At 45.7% G+C, this 21,560-nt stretch overlaps 2 annotated features.

Moving 5' to 3' along the window:
* Positions 213–754: an enhancer, noted in NCBI's record as "H3K4me1 hESC enhancer chr22:27496379-27496920 (GRCh37/hg19 assembly coordinates)". NCBI's record gives its function as "activates a minimal SCP1, AML or CMV promoter by ChIP-STARR-seq in primed H9 embryonic stem cells {active_cell/tissue: H9 hESC(primed)}" and the evidence as "EXISTENCE:reporter gene assay evidence [ECO:0000049][PMID:30033119]".
* Positions 10,881–11,839: an enhancer, noted in NCBI's record as "H3K27ac-H3K4me1 hESC enhancer chr22:27507047-27508005 (GRCh37/hg19 assembly coordinates)". NCBI's record gives its function as "activates a minimal SCP1, AML or CMV promoter by ChIP-STARR-seq in primed H9 embryonic stem cells {active_cell/tissue: H9 hESC(primed)}" and the evidence as "EXISTENCE:reporter gene assay evidence [ECO:0000049][PMID:30033119]".

Genomic DNA, 21,560 nt, shown 5'->3' on the forward strand with positions numbered 1-21,560 from the left:
TGCAGGTTGGTTCCCCTGCTTGTATGCAGGGGCTTATGGGGGTACAGTGGGGGGCACTCAGTATCAACACCTGTAGGGGAAGAGAAATAAGCAGGATGGGGCAGAAGAAGCAGTTGGGGTGTGATTCAGGCTCAACAGGGGTCTCAGCTGATCAAGCTGGGGCAGCTTTGGGGCCGAGAATGCTCTTCAAAGTCATCCTGCCTAAAGGTAAGGAGGTTGGGACGGTGTGCCCCCTGCATCGACTAGTCACCAGAAGGAGGTTTGACCTTGGTCAAGGCAGCTCTTTCCAGCTGAGGGCGGTCACCTGCCGGGATCAGGGCTCAGCTGGGAGCTGTCAGCACTCCCAGTAGCTGGGGTGATATCCGGGCAATGCACCAGAGCACCCAGCAAAGAGCCACTTGACACCTGGCTGGGGACAAGCACATCAGTTGCCTTTTCCTCTGCCAGGGAGCCTGCCATGCAGCCAACAAGGGCAGGCAAGGGTGAAAAGGGACGGCTTCCAGGTAGGTAAGAAACCAGGCTAGGGGAGAAGGTGTGATGGATGGCAGCAGACAATTCCGCCCTGCCAGTGTTTAATGGGGCTAAGGTCTTAGGTGAGCCCTTTGTGTGCTGGTAGTGGTGGTGTGCTATGTCCCCTGAATGATACAGCTGGCAGCATCTGGGCGAGTGAGGCAGGAGGATGGAGGAGAAACCGCAGCGCCACATTCCTGCGGCCCCTGCCTTGCCGCGCCTGTCACCCCGCAGGGCTGTGCCTTACAGCCGGCGCTCGACCCTGGAAAAAATTGACTGTCTGTTTCTGCCTGACTGCTCGAGAGTTACAGGCTGCAGGGGCGGGGGGAGGAGGCGCGAGGGCAGGCGGGCGGCTGCCTCCTCATCAGGATGGATTTTTCTGCTTCTCTGCTTGTAGGAAGAGCAGGAACAGGATACGGGAGGCTGCTCAAGGAGTAATCACTGTGCGGGGTGAGGGCATGTCAGGGGCTGGCTTTGTGATGGAGGAAAGAGAAAGGGAGGGGGAGTTAGGGCAGAGAAGCCTCAGGGAAGGCTGAGACCTTGGGGGACCTCAGAGAAAGTGGAACCAGGGGTTCCTCCAGCTGTATGTATGTGCATACTCTCCTTTCCTCCTTTCTTTCCTCCCTCCATCTCTCCCTCTCTCCCTTCCTTCCTTGTTTCCTTCCTTACCTCCTTTCCTCCCTCTTTTCTTTCTTTCCTCCTTCCTCCTTTCCTTCTGTTTATTCATCTGTCACCCACCCATCCACCCACCAACCCATCTTCCTTCCCCTGCCTCTCTCCATCCATCCATCCATCCATCCATCCATCCATCCATCCATCCAACCACCTGTTAACTTATTTATTCACACATTTCCACACCCATTCTTTCTCTCTTCTTTCCTAGCACTCATTTGCCCAGCACACATTTCTCGGGCACTGCCCCATCCCTGGGCTGGTACTGGGTGCTAGTGATAACCAGGTACCAGGTCCTGCCCTCATGGGTTTCACAGTGTGATGGGAGAGGAGATGGATCAGCAGAAAGAGGACCGCATTCTTGGTGGGTCAGAGTTCTTAGGGAGAACCCAAGGTGTGTTGGAACGTTGGAGACACTTGAGGACTTGAGGGGGTCAGAGAGGGCTTCCTGCAGGAGGAAGCACTGGGAGTCAGCCTGGAAAAGGGATGGAGGCGTGGAGGAGCAGAGTGTCTGTGGCCTTAGGAGTATTTGTGTGGCTGGCGGCTGGCATGCAGAGCAGTGATGAGCAGGGAGTGGGAAGAGGTTTTTCTATATCTGGAGAAATGAGTATGATCTGGATTACCCAAACCCAAGACCTTGGGTTAAAGAATTTGGGCTTTACTTTGCATTAAGTAGAGTTGTTCTTACTTAAGCAATGGAACCCCTTTTCACATGAAATCTTATGTGGAATTCCAAACTGCAAAAAACAGAGATAAAAGTGGAGCTGATACTAAAATTAGCCAGGCATGGTGGCACACCTGTAGTCCCAGCTACTTGAGAGGCTGAGGCAGAAGAATCGCTTGAACCTGGGAGGCGGAGGTTGCAGTGAGCCACGATCGCACCACTGCACTCCAACCTGGGTAACAGAGAGAGACTCTACCTCAAAAAAAAAAAAAAAAAAAAAAAAAAAGTGGAGCTGATCTGGTTAAAGCAGAGGGAGATTCCAGAATATTTCCCACTTGAATCTTCTCTTACCTACTTCCCACCATGGAGCTACAGAAAACATGGGCACAGAGCCTCAGGGTTCCATGGAACCCGGTTTAAAAATTGCAGAAATGTTATGTGGATCCTCCTCTGGACTTCGATGAGATCAACATACTGCAGCTTCCACCTCTTGCACGACAAAGAATCAGACTTTGGGGGAAAAGTAAAAGCTGCTTTTCCTCCAAGTTAGGGCCATGCCCCAGGTCCTTAGGCAGATGCACAAGATCCTCCAGAGTGTTCTACATCCCCAGGCTCATCTCCATCAATTTCAGCTTCCACTTTCATTTCACGGTTTCATAAGTGTCCAGGTTGCCTCTATGTGGAGCTGCTCCCCACCACTATCTGTGCCTGGCCCACTCCCCATCTCTGGAGTCTCACCTTAGAGTCCTCTCCACCAACAAGTCACTCTCGGCCTCCTCCCAACTTGGGTGTTTTCCCTGTTGCCCCAAGACCAGCTCTGAGAGCTGAGGTCAGGCCCCGCCCAGCACGTAGTAGGTGCTCAATATGTTTGTTGAATGTTTCAGCCAACAAACCAAGAAAGGCATGCATAAAAAATGTGGACATGCAAGTTCATGAACATCCATCTTCATTCTCCTGGGATCAGTAAATTCACATGAGGTGAGCAGGGAGGGGGCAGGGAGGATGGAGGGGTGGCAGGGCACCATCCTCAGAACAGCTCCAGCACACAGTAGGTGCTCAGAGAGTGTGGATTTAGAGAAAACTGTGAGCCTAGCCATGTATCCAGGAGGTTCTATAGAAGTAACACTGAGCAGGATTTGGAGATCTGAAAACATGGTCATCGGCAGTCCAAAAATGTCCCTTAAACCTCAGGGCACAGTGCCACCTGGCCCAACTTCGCCTCACACACTGAAGAAGACGGTGTAGGACATTTTCTGAATGTGCACCCTCATTCCAACTGTTTACATCATTAATTCATACGGCCCAATTTGCATCTGCACACCAACTCAATACTTTTTATGATGCAATTACTACTCAGAGATGAATTTTTTATGAGTTTCCTTTTAATGTCTCCAGGGCCTTTTATTTTGAAGAAAACCTCCTTGTGGAAAATGGCTAATCTTTCTTACAGTGAAGACTGAAAGCCTTCTGGTTCTCCCAGTCACAACCTAAATGACACTTCTTCCAGGAAGCCTTCGCTGGCCTGGATGAATGGGGAGGTAGAGCTCCCTGTGTGATGGGCAGCAAAGTAGGTTGGTGGTTAAGAGAACAAAAAGTGGGGTCAAAATAACCTGGTTTCAGGTTCTCACTGCAGCACTTAGTAGCTGTGCAAACTTGAATAAGTAACTCAATTTCTCTGAGCCCCAGATACTTCATCTCAACATAGGGTTCAATAGCCTCTCTCCTAGACTTGCCTTTAGAATGAGTGAGATCTTACAGGCTAAGTACTTGGTGCAGAGTTAGCACTCATGAAATATCCACTACTATTATTATAACACACTAGTATAACACAGCAGCTGGCAGCCATCCACACAGATAGGTTCACCTTTTTGGCCTCCATAATTCATTTGGTGGTTATGGAGATAAAGGTGCAGGTGCTCACCCTCCCCCAGAGAGATACATAGCATATCTTAGGAGTTTAATGTCCATGAGCTTTGGTATACATCAAATTGTCTTTCTTTCTTTTTTCTTGATCATCACAGTGTTGATCAGGTCTGTCTACCAAATCAGGAAGGGGAAACAGGAGGGGAAAAGGTAGAGGGAGCCCTGGGGAAGCAGTTTGCCCTGGGGTGAGGTGGTGAAGGCAGCCTGGATTTGAACTCTGCTTCCTAGAGTTTCTGAGGTCTTGGGCTGGGAGGTGCCTTCTTTCCATTTTACAGATGTAACGCTTTAGGTCCACAAAGGGGAGGGAAGGGGCTAAGGTCCTATTGCTCCTCCCAGTGCCTGGAATAATGCGTTTTTAGGGAAGCTTCCTCTGAATGTCTAAGACACCCTGGATTTCCTTTTTAAAACACTCTCCCAACTTCTCGTAAAGGCTTTTTCTTTTTCTTTTATCCTCACACTTTATACTTTATATCTATCTTTCTCTATTCTCCTTCTTTCTCTCTCTCTCATCTATCTACCTTTATCTTCTTATTTTTTATTTGACAAATAAAAATTATACACATTTATGGTATATAGCACGGTATTTTGAAATACGTATACCCTATGGAATGGCCATACCAAGCTAATTAGCATATGTATTACTGCACATACTTAACATTTATTTGTAGTGAGAACACTTCAAATCTATTTTCTTAGCAATTTTCAAGTACACAATATATTGTCATTAACTATAGTCACCCATGCTGTACAACAGATGCCTCGAATTTATTCCTCCTGTCTAACTGAAATTTTGTATTCTTTGACCAACATCTCTAAAATTTCCTTGCCATATTATTGACAAAACATTACACATTCAAAAAATAAAACATTCAAAATAAAACATTCAAGCAGCACAAAAACTCTCTCACCTCTTTGAACCCTAGTACCCCAGCTTTCTCACTAGACACCAACTTTTCCCAATTTCCTGCAGATCCTTCCAGAGACCTTCTCTACAAGAACCAATATATCAAAGCCTATCCAAGGCTCTTGTTTTGTAGAAATGGACATGAAGTGCAGTCATTGCCTGTGCCTTCACTTTTGTCACTTAGGTGTTGTTCTGTCACCATATAGGGATCTGCTTCATTTAAGGGCCACATGGTATCTCATGCTAGAATAAGCCAAATTGCATTTAACCAATCTATCAATGGACGTTTTGGTTGCTCCCAAATCTTCATCTATTACTACATTTTTGATATCTGCCTTTCCCACCTGACTGTAGACTTTATGAGGATAGTGCAGTCTGTGTCTATTTTATTTCTGTCTCTTCAAAGTATAGCATGGGGTGTCTGAAACATGGTAGGTGCTCAATAAACAGTCCTTAGATGGATGGATAAAAGGATGGATGGATGGATGGATGGATGGATGGATGGATAAAAGGATGGATGGATGGATGGATGGATGGATGGATGGATGAATGGATGGATGGATAGATGGATGGATGGATAGATGGATGTATGATGTATGGATGGATGATGGATGGATGGATGGATGGATGGATGATAAATAGATGGATTGGTTAGTTGTAGAACCTGGACTAAGTCTCTGATTCTCCTACCCCACTCTTTTGTGGCCTGAGGGACCCAGCTCTTTGACAGTCTCACCCAAGGAGGAACGCAGTACGGAGTCCCCATCTTCAGGCAGAGCCAACAGTGGAGACGAGCACATGCTGTCCCGCTGTGCTCACAGCTCCATGAGCAATAGCAGGCTCCCAACCAAAGCTCTCCCTTGGACGCTCACAGATAGCAGCGGCTTCCCAAGGCCTGCTGGGTGGAGTTGCACCACGTTATGGAAACTTCTATTTCTGCTTTATAAAAACAAAGTAGGAAAGGAAACCTGGCTCGGCAAGAGACACATGCTGGCCTCGTGAGTCATCTTTCTCCAAGCAAGACCAGAAAATCCTCCCAAAACTGGGGCTTTCACTGAGTCTTTGGCCTACATGCTTATGTTTCTCCCTCCCGAACCCCAGAGCCCTGTACACATGGGAGTTGCAAACTCAAGTGCCCCCCAGGAGACTGGCCAGAAATGTACAATAAAAAGTGAGGCCAGCACATGGCAAAATGAAGGACACTTTTCTCTTCTACACCAGCAATCTTGTGTTTTTTTTTGTTTTTTTTTTTTAATGTGAAATATCTCAACTTTTAAATTTCAGAGACCAATGAAGATATTTTTTAAAATGCTACATAGGCTAAGTCAACTTACAGAGGGCTGGCTTTGGTCAGATGGCCACCTGTGTGAGCCTCTGTTGGATGCTCTGTTGGATGTGAGAGTCAGCAACACTCGAGATCATTTATGTTTTCACCTTCTCTGTGGACTGGGACTCTCTCTGTGCAATTCTGTATCTCTGAGACCCTGCAGAGTGGGAAAATAAAGCAATTGTTGTGTGCTTTTTTTGCTTTTAATTAATGCATTGATTTTACAGATACTTATTGATCATTCCATGTATATGCTAGTCTAGGTGATGTCCGTTTTGCATCTCTTTTCTATCTTCTTTCTGCATCTGCTGCATCCTAGTGGCTATAAGCTTAAGCTCTAGTTTCAAATTGCCTGGGTTCAAATCCTGGCTCTGTCACTTACTAGCTAAGTGACCTTGGACGTGGGATTCAGCTTTTTTCCCCAAGCCTCAGTTTGCTCACTTGTGAAATAGGGGTCATTATAGTCTCTCTCACTGTGAGAACTAAATGAACTGATGTCAGGAAATGTTTAGAATACCCCCTGGCTCCTGTTCAGCTGTTGATCATCACCCATTTGCCACATTCTTGTTAAATGCCCTTTATGGGTTAAGCTTGTGCTTGGCATTAAGGTTTCTGCCACAAGCAAAGTGGGGCCCACTCCCACAAAGACTTTCTTACTAAATTCTCAAAGTAACCCCATTGTACAGATGCAAAAACTGCGGGTCAGGGAGGGAAAGTGACTTTCCTGAGGTCACACAGCTGGTCAGTGTCTGAGATGGGATTCCAATCAAGTACATCTGTCCTTCCTACCAGAACCCATGCTTCTTCTGGGCGCAGAGAGATGGAAAGGATCCCTCTTTTCCCAAGGCTTCCCTTGACAGGCAAGGAGTTGGCCTCCGTTTCTGCAAGAGTCCCTCAGACAGCTCTGATCATTTTCAAGTGGACCCAAAAAGAGAAGGGCTGGCATGTGCTCATGATCCCAAGCCTGGGAGCTTGGCACAGCACAGGCCCTTCTTACTGGGCATGGAACCAAAATTCTTAGAAGCTTCTGACTTGTTTTCTCCTTTGGATGAAGGCATAGTGCATGTTCGCTGTGTGCCTCCATGCATGCCTCGTAACAGAGAATGGTCACACACATAGGGAGTCCACAGCTGAGGGTCATGTACCTTACCTTCCAAAGCCCCAGCCCTCTGCAGGGTGCTGTCTTGCCACCTTTCCAGGAACCGTGACCTCTGGGTTAGTTGGCAGCCAACATTTACTGAGCAGTTAATGCACATCAGACTCTATTCAAAGAACTTTACATTAACAGACTCAGTCTGCACAATCATCCCCAGAGAGGTAGATGCTATGGTACTTCCATTTGACAGATGAGGACACTGAGGCCCAAAAAGCAGAAGTAACTTGCTTAAGGTCATGATGCAACTCAATGTTAGATAAAGCCAAATGTCAAAATATGAGTTCTCAGAGGTCTCTGGGTTAGAGAATGGTCTTTCTGGCTGGTGGCACTTTTATGATGTGCCTCAATATGTCTGGGACAAAGTGGCATTCAATTAACCCAGCTCCATCCACCCATCTGTCCACACACTTATGAGTCGTATGATCCTGGGTTCATCAGTTCACCTTTGGGACACTCACTTCTAAACTGCAGGCCAAAATGCCAGTACTCACCCTTGCAGGAACGAGGACCAGAACACCTGAATGGGTAGTTACCTGCTTTGGGAAAGTGACATGCTGGGTAGGCAGAAGGAAGTGTTCACACCAGTATCCCTCATCTCCATCAGGCTTGGCTCTGAGCCCAGGTCAGGCTTGAGCACAGCCAATCAGTGACTCATCCTTGCTGGGGGCATAGTCTGCTGTTGTGTTAGAAAAGCTAGACCACAATGATTAATTCAAGCATGATAAGAACGTCTGGGCTCTAACCATCTGCTACTGTGTGACCTGGGGTAAGTCCCTTCCCTCTCTGGGCCTCAGCATCTCCAGGTACTTAGACCCTATGAACTCTAGGAACATTTTAGGCTCAGACAATTGATGGAAAATTGCAAAGACTCCACGGGGGGGGGGTCTCCCTCAACTAGTTTCTCTTTGCCCTCATGTCTGGAAATCTAGTGGCAAAAATGCTTGCTCTCCTAACTAATTTGTATCCACCTCTGGCACAAAGAAACCTCAGGACTAGTTTTCTGTTCCCGCAATTAATAATATTATTGTTGTTGTCGTTGTTAATATTCACTGCATTAACTGAACTCAATGTGCTGAGTCTTTTACACCCATTGTCTCTTTGAATCCTCAAACTAATCTCTTGGGCTAGATACTATGATCCCTTTCTCTTAACAGATAAGGAAAGTGAAGCTCCCAAGACTTGATTAAGTAGCTCAAGGTCATCCTCAGTGCCAGGATCAGAAGCTGCAATTTGAACTGGGGAACTCTGGTCTAGCCTTTCAGCTCTCAGCCATGAGACGGCACACCCAGCCCTGCAGATCAAAAAACAAACTTGCCCTTCCTCGCCTGAAAACGCTCCCTCACCTTGGCCACCCGGCATGAAAACATTCTGAATCCAGACTGCCAAGAAAGAAGAATCAAGAAAAAAGGAAGAAAAGAAAAATGAAGAACGCTTTGTTCCTTGAACTGTTCTCCACAAGCATAGTCTCCGCCAGGTACATTACTTAACTGCGGAGGTGACCCCCGACACCCCCCCCCCGCCCCCACCCTGGCTGCCTCGAGCTCCCTTGGCAGCCGGGTAGTCACGTGATGCCCAGACAGCCCTGGCTGCTATTCAAGCGTGTCCATGTGAAGCAGCTCTAGCGAGCATCGCTCCCAGAGGGGGAAGGCGGGGGCCCGAGTCAGCCTTGGACAAGGCCCCTCAGCCCCGCGCCAGAGAAGCCCCTGTCAGTGCCCACTGCCCTTTCAAAGACACTGCACGCTGGGCCTGCTCCCTGCACCCTTCCTTGCCCAGGAAGCAGCAGCGCAGGCCAGATGAAATGGCGGCCACAAGGTAGCATCGCTGAGGGGCTTCTGTTCATCAGAGTTCAGCCTGGTCTCCCGGCTTCACTCATTCATTAACTCACTCACTCATTTGTTCATTCAATCACTCATTCATTCATGCATTCATTCATTCACTCACTCAGTCACTCATTCACTCATTTATTCCTTCATTTACTCCAAACTTCACTCAATCATTCACTCACCCAATTATTCACATGTTCCTTCACTCACTCACTAATATATTCACAAATTACTTCACTTACTCATTCATTTATCCATTCATTCAATCATGTATTAGTCCATTTTCATGCTGCAGATAAAGACATGCCTGAGACTGGGTAATTTATAAAGAAAAAGGAGTTTAATGGACTCTCAGTTCCATGTGGCTGGGGAGGCCTCATAATCATGGAAAAAGGCAAAAGGCACGTTTTACATGGTGGCAGGCAAGAAAGAGTGAGAGCCAAGTGAAAGGGAAAACCCCTTATAAAACCATCAGCTCTCATGAGACTTATTCACTACCATGAGAACAGTATGGGGGAAACCACCCCCATGATTCTATTATCTCCCACCGGGTCCCTCCTATGTCACATGGGAATTGTGGGAGCTACAATTCAAGATGAGATTTGTGTGGGGACACAGTCAAATGATATCAATTCGAACACAACATATCATCCACTCTTCTCTGCACTGGGGACATAACAGTGAGCAAAATAGATGAGATCTTTTTGGAGCCTCAGTCTAGCAGGGTAGATAACCATTAAACAATAAACACTTAATTATTCAATTGCAAACATGCTAAGTTTTAGAAAGGAAGAATAAAGCGTATGATCATATATAATAGGGGCCCAGCCTTTTCAGACACCCAATTACAAAAGCATAGCTCAACTCCCTTTCACTCCCCATATTGCAAAGCAGATATCTACAAGATATCTACAAGAATCATGAAGGCCTAAAAATATGTCAGTGTTGGAAGAAACATCAATGATTATCTGGCTCTTGGTGGCAAAAGGCAGTGACATGGTATGGTCAAGGGCTCAGACCTTTGAGTTGATTTCTGGGTTTGAATCCAGCTCTGCTATCAACTGCATGCCCTTGAATGAGCTATTGAAACAATTGGACTTGGTAGAGTGAGAACAAACAGAGTACTAGAGCTGTGGGGGAAGATTAAATGAGAGCCCTATGCAAATCATTTAGCATGGGCCTGCCCCTGGGCAGCAAACAGTGCATGCTACCCTCGATCATGCTCTACTTTCATTGAGCATTGGAGGAGGGAACCACATGCCTTAGGATGATCCAGTAGGAGCCTGCACTTGAACCCAGGCCTCTGGGCTCCCAGTCCAGTGCTTTTTCCAAGCACAGAAGAACCTTTGATATACAATGGAAGAACCGCCATTCTCCTGTCTCCACCTGCTGTTCACCAGCCTCTGTCATAAATGTCCCAGAATCCTCACCCAAGATCAAGTCCTGACATCCAAGTGTCCCCCACCCCAGGTGGCTGCACAGCTGTCTTCCGGGGCATCTTGGTTGGTGGGAGGGGAGAGAGAAGAAGGCATCTAACACACAGCTTCTATTTGCCATGTCAGGAGCAGTAACTTCTCCTAATTATTTCCTGGCTCCTGGATTCATTAGCCACCCCAGTATTAATTCAGATCACTGCATTTATCCCCATCTGTCCTAGATTCGTCACCAAGACACTGACGATGCTAATGTGGTGGTTTCAGCAATGAAAGAGCACTGCAGAGTTCAAATTGTTGTTCAGAAGGGGGAAGGGCTCTAGCAATTTTTGGTTTAGAACAAGCAACGAGAGTCCCCCACCAAACACACACACACCACCCCCAAGCCCCCAATACCCCAAACCAGGCAGCCCAACGGCCCACGGGCAGATAACCTTCTGCCCTGGCCTCAGCATCAGAGAAATTCCTTTTAAATGACTCCACAGACTTCCCCACCCACTGAGTTCCCCTCTTTGGCTAACAGATGGGCTCAGCTAACCATTCCCAGCTTTCCGATAAAGCAGTGTCAGGCAGTGAGGCCCCCTCGGAAAGGCATGCTTGGATAATAAATTCCAAGGCACCCCTGCCATCTGCAGGCTGCCAATCATGGGGGCGCTGGGCACACTAGGGCTCCCAGTCTGCTGCTGGTAGGGAGCTGGGGTGGGACCTCTGCGTGTGGGGAGGCAGCCTGCCCCTGCCGCCCCATCCTGCTCAGCCTGTGACCTGTCCCTTTTGACACGGTAGGGGCCAGTCCTGCTGCAACCCCTCTGTCTACTCACAACCCTCCCTGTCATGCGAGAACCAGCACACAGGCAGCACTGTAATGGAGGCAATAATCGTGAACCACAAAGGCCGATAGTCAGATCTGCTGCCACATTTTGGCTCAGTCACATTCCAGTGCTTGACCTCAGGCCAGTGGCTTCCCCATAAGAGCCTCAGTTTCCCCATCTGTAAAATGACAGTTAAAGACACTCCCTCCCTGGTAGATTTTGTGTGAAGATGTAAGCAAAATGCGTGGCACAATGCTTGGCCCATGGATATAAGTGGCAGCTGTCATTATCACCATCATCATTATTGTTAATATTATTCGTGTGGTTGTTATCATTTAAAATACCAATTAGGTGCATGGTGGTGCACTCCTGTAGTTCCAGCCACTCAGGAGGCTCAGGCGGGAGGATGGTGTCAGCCCTAGGAGTTCAAGGCTGCGGTGAGCTGTGATCGATCGTGCCACTGCACTCCAGTTTGGGTGAAGGAGCAAGACCCAGTATCTAAAAAATAGTAAAGTGAAATAAAAGGGCAGTTAGCCGGAAAAATTGACTTTATGATACTTGCTTCATATGATACTTATCTTGGAGGTGTGATAAAATATATGAGCTGTCTTAACCCAGCACAGAATGAGCCTTCAGGAAATGTTAATTGCCCCTGTCAATCTCAAATTCTTTCATCTATTCATTCATTCATACAAGAGACATTCACTAAACATTGTGCCAGCCCTTGGGTTAGACCTGAAGAGAGAAAGAACAACCAAAAAAAAAAAAAAAAAGCAATTTTTACCTTTAAATCACTCACAGTCAAGGGAGCAAATAGAGCAGTCCCTGCAAAGACACAGGTTTCCACAGTGTTAGAGTGTGTTTGGAAAGAGGCCAGGCTTCCCAGATGACCCCTCCCTCTATCTCCCAAATAATAATAGAGGCTTTTTGTACCACATTGCTTGAACTCCTTCTGACTGCTGAGGTTTCCTGAGGTCAGGGATGTACAATGTGCAGTATAGGTACTGTTGTCTCCCATCCTGGGCCAAGGCAGACATCACTAATCAATCACAGCTGTCTTTCTCATTGAAGGAAGAAGACAGGACTCAGTCACTAGGAAGATTCCTTCCTCCTGGAAGTCACGGTCAGCTGATAAGAGCTGGCACCCAAGTTTTAAGCAAATATAATCCCAGGCTTAGATTAGGGTTTAGACATGTCCAGCTATGTCTGGCCCAGAGCTTGTTTTTGTAAATAAAGTTTTATCGAAACACAGTCACACCCATTTCTTTACATATTGTCTATGGCTGCTTTTGCACTATATGGGTATAGGATGAATAGCTTTGACAAAGACCATATTTCCCACAAAAGACAAAGTATTGATCCTCTGGCCCTTTACAGAAAACAGTTGTCTTTGCTGCAGAGGGTTTACTGTAAGAACTTGCAGTAAAGTGTGATGAGGCATCGTGAACTGAAACCGTAAGCATCTCGCCCATATTCTGTCCACTCTCATACTCAAGCCTGCTTACTGTGCACACCTGTGACTCCCTGCTTCTAGATGTTGTTCTGGCCTTGGGAGCCTACTCTTCTGTGCAGAGGGCAGGTTGGAAGCAGCAGTGTTATTGCCCCTGAAAGCAGTCCTCAACCAAGAGGACGGTGAGGTGGGTAAACACCCTAGCCCCTGGACTCTCAGGTGAGAGAACACCAAGGTGGGTCACACTGCCTTCTGGAGGCTCCCAGCAGGACAAAACTCTACTTACTCACCATAGATAATAAAATTCCACCTCTCACTCTTAAGATAGTCTTTCCTAGGAATCCTTGCCTCAGAGTTGGCTTCTGAGAGAACCAGACAAAGAAGCTGTTGTTTCTCTCTCTGCCCCAGCTCTTCCAAGTCTAGAATGTGCTATGTGTTTTCAGGGGACTGAATCAGTGACTCATCCCACTGGGATGTTGCAATAGCTGTGGTGACCACGTCTCAGTGTGCATCTCACACGCAGACTTCCTGAGAGAGGGAGGCATTGATTATGCCACTTGTCACCAGCTGATGTAGCAGGATTTTGTGCCAAACCATCAGAGAAGGAGTTTCCATCTCTCGCTCCAGCCTCCCAGTGGCTGCAACTGCACAGGGTTCTGACAGTGAAGCTCTTAGTCTAGTCCACAAAAGCAGATTCCCATCCTGAAATGCCCTACTTCCCTGCTCTAGGCAGACATCACGAATCAATCACAGCCTGACTTCCTCTTGCATCTTTTTCAGTCAAGCACTCCAGGCAGGTGCTATCAGTGGTTGGGAACTGGCACACAAGATTAAACATATTCTATGGGGGAATGCCTAGGACAGAAGGCTGCATGAAAGGTATCACAATAGGAAGTATGGCATGAAATAGTTCTTCAAAAGAGAAACAAAACAGGCAAGTACAAATGATAAATGTAGGAAAGTGATGTCTCACAGTCATGTGTGTGAGTGTGTGTGAGGGAGGGAGGGAAAGAGAGAGAGAGAAAGAGAGACAGAGAGAGAAAGAGAGACAGAGAGGGAAATTGCAATTGTTTTTCTTTTTCTGCTTTGTTTTGTCTCTACACTGAGTGTCTACTTACTTGAGGCATGTTCACATTGAGCACCTATTATGTGCCAGGCCCTGTGTTAGGGGTACAATGACAATCAGGACTAACATGTAATTGCCTAATGGAAAAGATAACTACAACTCAGTGTGGTAAGGCAAAGGCAGAATCTGTGGGAATCTTCACAGATTGGGCCGCAGAGCACCTGAGTTTCTCCTTTATGACAATGAGAATCACAATTAGACAACTAGAATCACAACTAGAATGCTGCAGTTATTTGTGAGATTGTGTGCTAAGCCTCCCTCTCACTCTGTCCCCCTCTCTCTCACTTAGACTACAAACTCCCAGAGGGTAGGCACTGCATCTTGTTTGCTCCTTGCCCCATACACTGGGCCTAGATCGGTGCCTGGCACAGGGCAGGTGCGCATAATCAGTCCCTCTGGCTTCATTAAAAAGTGGAGCTGGGGGCCGGGTGCAGTGGCTCACGCCTGTAATCCCAGCACTTGGGAAGCCGAGGTGGGCAGATCACGAGGTCAGGAGATAGAGACCATCCTGGTTAACATAGTGAAACCCCGTCTCTACTAAAAAAAACCAAAAAAATTAGCCAGACGTGGTGGCGGGCACCTGTAGTCCCAGCTACTTGGGAGGCTGAGGCAGGAGAATGGCGTGAACCTGGGAGGCAGAACTTGCAGTGAGCCGAGATTGCGCCACTGCACTCCAGCCTGGGTGACAGAGCGAGACTCCGTCTCAAAAAAAAAAAAAAAAAAAAAAAAAGTGGGGCTGGGTGCTGTGGCTCACACCTGTAATCCCAGCACTTTGGGAGGCCGAGGCGGGTGGATCACCTGAGGTCAGGAGTTCAAGACCAGCCTGATCAACATGGCGAAACCCCATTTCCACTAAAAATACAAAAGTGGTGGCATGCGCCTGTAGTCCCAGCTACCCAGGAGGCTGAAACAGGAGAATTGCTTGAACCTGGGGGACAGAGGCTGCAGTGAGCCAAGATTGCGCCACTGCACTCCAGCCTGGGCGACAGAGCAAGACTCCATCTCAAAAAAAAAAAAAGTGGGAGGGCGGGTATGGTGAGAGTAGACTCTGATGACTCTGATGAAAGATGAAGGTGGAAGGGGCAGGTCGTGTAAACCATATGAAGGAGTTTCAATGTAACAAAATAAAAGGAAAACAACAAAAAGTTTAGTCTTTGTAAATAAACACAAAATGAACCCCTATACTAGTACCCAGTTATTAACAACTCTGTTCTGAACAGAGTTTAATTTTTCTGTTCACTCATAGGCTCAGGTCTCTGAGATCTTTAGTTGAGAGCACAGGTATCAGCAACCGGGACTTAGGCTATTGATGGACAGGTTTGCGCTCCTGGAGTGTCAATATATAACACGCAATTTGTCTTTCAGCCGCAAGGTCACCTTGATTGCTCTTCTTTCAGTTAGGGGAAAGTATTTTCTACACACTGAGGTTTTGGATCCCCAGAGTTCCAGAGGCAGCTAGCGGAGAGACAAAGCATAACTTTCTACTTTCTGCCTTTGATGCATAGGTTACTGAGCCCTTTGGAACCTTAGTTTTCTCCTCTGTACAGTGGGGCCAATAATGATGACTTGCCCAGAGCAGTTGTGGAGTCCAGTGTCTGACACATACTAAGCGCTCATTATCAAAGGCTGTACTCATGAGGGAGATGATGATGGTGAAGATGATGATAAGATATTGGAGCAGGCAGAGGCCCAGTTTTGCAGAGCAGGAGGGAAACTGAGGCCTAGAGGTTGGAAGTGACTGGACCAAGTTCACCTGAGGAATCACTTACAGAGCTAGAATCCAATGGAAGATCCTAAGAGCCAATTCATATGCTCTTTCCTCTTGAATTGCAATTCCCAAACTGTGTGTCAAGGCACCCTGGGGTGCCTGGGCAGACTCACAGGAACATTGCAAGGTATTATAAATTGTCAAGGTAAACACAGCGATATTGGACATCTGTTAAATGCCATGAGAATGACTAGCTTGAGGTCATTCACAATTCCAGCATTAGATCACCCAACATTCCTTTTGATGATGTCGTATCTTCGTGACCCTGGGTTTTTGGTGGCTGCTGTGATAAAAAGCAAGAACTATGCCAAAGTCAATGTGGAACAGGAAATGAGGGTGACAAAGTCCGATCTGATTTCAAGGTTTCAGAAGCCATGCAGTGCCCAACCGGTGCACACATTTCAATAGGAAGTGATTGTGCTTACAATATTATTTTTTGATTAACTTGTGTGTATTATTTTTTTCAAATGGCTGCTAAGTTGTTAGGATGTAAATGCTTATTACGTTGTTTGCACTTGAAGACCCAATAAGCAGGACTGGCAGAACCATTAAGGATTTATTTTGCTGAAATAATTCCTGAACACTAAGGGTGCCATGTACTGGGAAAGTTTGGGAACTTCTGCTCCATATACTAGGCACCCCCCTACCCCCGTCTGGGAAGGAGGCAGGAAGCTCTGAGCCTCCAGCCAAGACTGAGGCATGTGGGAGAATGGTTAAATGCCTTGCAAACAAGAGGGACATGAACAGTAAACCTGATTTCTCAGTTGCTGCCAAGTCATTGTTTATTTAGAAACAGCAGTGTGGGCACATCAGAAACCATGTCCTCCTTGTTGCTCAGCAAGATGGGCAACTTATCCATTCAGCTAACATACAACTGGCATTTACTCTATGTCTGCACTGTCCTGGTACAGTGGTAAATGAGGCAGTCTCTATCTTCAAAGGTAGGAAAGGAGGAAGGATGGGAAGTTATATGGTTTGGCTGTGTCCCCACATAAATCTCATCTTGAATTATAGCTCCCATAATTCCCACATGTTGTGGGAGGTAATTGAATCATGGGGATGGGTCTTTCCCATGCCTTTCTCATAGTAGTGAATAAGTCTCATGAGATCTGATGGTTTTTTGAAGAGAAATTCCCCTGCACATGCTCTCTTGCCTGCTGCCATGTAAGACGTGACTTTGCTCCTCCTTCACCTTCCACCATGATTGTGAGGCCTCCCCAGCCATATGGAACTATGAGCTCTTTCTTTTATAAATTACCCAGTCTCAGGTATGTATTTATTAGCAGTGTGAGAACAGACTAATACAGGAGAGAAGGAAGAAGAAGAGACTATTCTTTTTACTAATAAAACTCTGAGAAACACAGGCTCAGAGAGGCTAAGTACACTACCCAGAATCACACAGAATAAAAAAAGTTGGATAATTTACAGCTAAGAGAATGCCCTATACCACTCATCTTGAGCACTTATGGTCTAATCTGAGAGATCGACACAAGCATATAAGTAATATTTGGAGGGAAAATTTGACCTCACTCAAGAATGGGTATGGATATCATGGTGCTGGCATAAGGACGGACATATAAATCAGTGGAATCAAATTGAGGGTCTAGAAATAAACCAGACCTCTCTGGGTAACTGATTTCTGACAAGGATGCCAAGATTCTTTAATGGGGGAAAAATAGTCTTTCAACAAATAGTGGTAGAGACAAATGAATATCCATATGAGAAAGAACAAAACTCAAAATGGATCATAGAGCTAAACATAAGAGCTAAAATTATAAAACTCCTAGAAGAAAATTTAGGAGTAACTGTTCATAACTTTGGGTTAGGCAATTGTTTCTTAGATATGATACCAAAAGCACAAAAGACAAAAAAAAATACAAATTAGATTTGATCAACATTAGAAACATTTGTGCTATAAATAAGATCATAAAGAAAGTGAAAAGATAACCCACAGAATGGAAGAAAATATTTGCAAATCATACATCTAATAAGGAATTTGTATCTAGAATATATAAAGAATGCTTAAGACTCAGTAACCAAAAGACAAAAATAACCCAATTCAAACATAAGAAAAGGATTTGAATAGGCATTTCCCCAAAGCAAATGTACAAATGGCCAATAAGGACATGAAAAGATACTCAGCATTATTGAGCATTAGGAAAATTCTCATTAAAAGCACCAGGAGATAGCACTTTGATGCCTACTAAGATAGCTATAATCGAAAAGGCAGACAATAACAACTGTTGGCAAGGATACGGAGAAATTGAAACCTTCATACATTGCTGGTGGGAATATTAAATGGCACAGCCCTTGTAAAGAATTCTGGCAGTTCCTCAAGATGTCAACCATAGAGTTACCATGTGACCCAGCAATTCCACTCCTAAGCATACATCCAAGAGAAACAATAACATATGTCCACACAAAAATTTGCACAAAAATGTTCATTGTGGCACTATTCACAATGGCCAAAATATGGCAACAACCCGAATGTCCATCAATTGCTGAATGGATCAACAAAATATGGAATATCATGGAATATTATTCAATGATAAGAGGGAATGTAGTATTGACACGTGTGACAACATGAATGAGCCTTAATTATGCTACGTGAAAGAAGCCAGTCACAAAAGGCCACATATTGTATGACACTATTTATATGAAATGTCCAGAATAGGCACATCTATAAGAACAGGACATAGATGAGTATTTGTCATGGGCTGAATGCTGGGAGTAAACCGGGGGTGACTAGTAATGGGTCGGGTTTTCTTATTGGGATGGTGAAATAGTCTAAAACTGGATTTTGGTGATAGCTATACAACACTGTGAATAAACTCAATCTATTGAACTGTGCACTTTAAATGGATGAATTTTATGGAATGTTAATGATATCTCCATAAGGCTATTTTAAAAATTAAAAAATATATATGTGTTGGGGGTGGTGGGATGGCTGAGCATACAACTGTGGAGGAGGCAGGGGCCAGAGAGAAGGAACCTGGATTTTTCTCTGGAGGGCAATAGAGAACAGTAGAAGCTTTTCAACAAGGAAGCCACAAGGTTAGAGACCAGGGAGCAGGATCCTGCAGAAACCCAGGGTACATGATCAGACCCGATTTAGGGCAGTGTTCTAGCAGGAAGCAGAGGGAACAAGCAGGTCTGAAAGCAATTTAGCAGGCAAAACTGATAGGACTTAGTAACAGATCGAAGGGAAGTGAAGAATAGCTGGAATGCTACACAGCCATAAAAAGGAATGAAAATCACGTCCTTTACAGAAACGTGGATGAAACTGGGAGGCCATTATTCTAAGTGAATTAATACGGGAACAGAAAAACAAATACATGTTCTCTCTTATAAGTGCGAACTAATCATTGAGCATATATGGACACAAAGAAGGGAATAATAGACACCGGGCCTTTTTGAAGGTGGAGAGTGGGAGGAGGGTGAGGATTGAGAAACTAATTATCAGATACTATACTTATTACCTGGGTCATGAAATAATCTGTATGCCAAACTTCTTCAACATGCAATTTACCCATGTAACAAACCTGCACATGTACCCCTGAACCTAAAATAAAAGTTGGAAAGAGAAAGAAATGAAGTGGAAGAGCAAGGTACAGGGATAGGCACAGAGTCGGTCCTCAGTACAGGCATGCAGAGCCAATAAATGAATAAATGCTGCTTATTCTAGTAGATCTCACTGTTGTTCCTAAGTCTTGATTCTGTTCCTGATAAAACTGTCTAAAATGGCGTGGGGTTCAGGCTCTAGATTCTACCAACATTCTGCAACCTTGCCCTCCATGCTCCCTTCCACTGGAGAAAGGGTTAGGAAACTAACGTGTACTGAGACCAACAGGGGCAGGTGCACTCTGATGGGGAGGTGCCCATCTTGCTTCCTGTTATACCTAGCCTTGAACTGAGAGTGCAGTAGGCACTCAGTAAGTATGGGTTACATTAATGAGTGAATAAAACAGTATCGCATATTGAATTTTCTTAACAATTGTATAAAGTTAATACAATTACCACCACTTTCACCAGAGGGAAACCTAAACACAAAGTGGGCTGAATGACCACCCCGAGGGCTGGAAGGTGGTAACCTCTAGGAGTCAAGACTTAAAAGTCCAGTTGGCCAGGAGCTAGAGTCTTGGAGGATCCCAAACACCATTTATTCAATTGATCCATTCATCTATTTAATTTAATATGATTTTTTGGGATCTTTGGGAGATGCCATCACTGCCCTTTCATACCTTCTTGTCTTCATTTTTCTGGGGCATTCCAGCCCAACCTCCAACTGCCAATGTGTGTATCTTTTTCCCCAAGGGTTTCTCTGGGCACTGGAGCTTTCACTGCCTATGAACATGGTGGAAAGGAACTGCCTGGAAATTAATGATACTCCATCCCCACCCTCAGGAGCAGCCTTCAACCCACAGTATGAAAGTTGGTGTATAAATACCCCAGCTCCCTCTCTCACTCAGTTTCACACTGTCTCCCAGAGGTCCTCAGTAGGAGTAGGTTCCAGTGGCCCATGGTGGTAATGCCCTTCACAATGTACCCCATATTGGTGCCCTTATCATCCTGTCTTACTTCCCCACCACCATACAGGTGCTTCAGGAATCATCCATGTGTACTACAGTCCTGGTTTTAGGGCCTGCTGCTGGAGGGGCCCAAACAAACAGGCACCTCCTCTGTGCCAGGCACTAGGCACTGGGGATATCTGGTAGGGAAACTAGTAAGGTTTGATCTTCTGAGGGCCACCAGGCTCATGGGACTGGTGGACAAGTGTAACACACAATTATATGCAAGTGTAACACACAAGTTAACACACAAGTGTAACACACAAGACATGCCTTCTCAACCAAACTCAATTTATGAAGTCTGTTGCCTTGGAACCAACATCTTCGCCTCTCCCTTTTTTTTTTGCAAGCCAGCTACCTAAACCTAACTAATCCCATTAAATGCCAAGATTCTTGGTGGCAGCCTCACCTCTGGCTCTTGACAACTTGAGCAGCAGAAAGGCAGTAGTTTCTACATCTGACGGAAGCTCATGGAGAAACCACAGCAACATCTAGAATCCAACTGGTGGGAGGAGTGTAGACAGGAGGTTTTCTGCCATCTCACCATCCAGCAAAACCCTCCTGCTCCCCAGGCCCCAGCTCCCGGCTAAAGCAATTAAGTCACTTACTGCCAGGACCTGGAGGTGGCGGTAACATATAATCACAAATATAAACAGTTTTATATGGTAATTATGAATTCTGTCTATTTTTTTTTTATCAGTGCAACCCAGGCTGAAGATTATTTTCTGCTTGATATAATTCTAATTTTGATCCATCCTTCCCACCCACCCCCACCCAACTTCAGAAGGATTAAGATGGGGGTATGGGTAATAATTTGGGATATGACAGAATTGAGGCATCTGTTTTCAGGTCTTGTTCTACACGGATTCGACCAAAGTCGATTTGCTCCTGATGCTCCATCCTATGTTAGGTTAAATATCCTAATGGAATAACTCGCCATTCCACGGTTCTGGTCCCAGCCCAGGCCACCATTGTGTCTCATCTGGATATCAGCAATACTCTCTTCACCAGCCTCCCTGACTCCAGCATTTTTCCTTCCAAATGGGCTAGGCCAAAGTTGTTCTTTTCAAAAACATGAGTCTTCCTGCCTACCCGTTCCTCCCCAATCTCTCAACATCCTGCTAAATGATATCACCATTGACCCAATGGCTTCAGCTGAAAACCTAGGAGTCTTCGTGTCTTCCAAACTAAGTCTTCTTCCAGCTACTTCCTGAATATGCCCACAAGCATCCACAGTTCTGCATCTACTCCACTACAACCTGGTCCAAGTCATCCTCTCTCCCCTGGGTGGCTGAAGATGCTCTCTAACTGACCACCCAGCTTCCCGTCTTCCTCCCACCCCAATAATCCACACTCCATTCAACAGCACAGTGATCTTTGAAGACATAAATAGAATCACAGGATGCCTTTTCACTGGACTTAGAAAA

Source organism: Homo sapiens, chromosome 22 (genome assembly GCF_000001405.40).
Source record: "Homo sapiens chromosome 22, GRCh38.p14 Primary Assembly".
Classification (NCBI taxonomy): domain Eukaryota; kingdom Metazoa; phylum Chordata; class Mammalia; order Primates; family Hominidae; genus Homo; species Homo sapiens.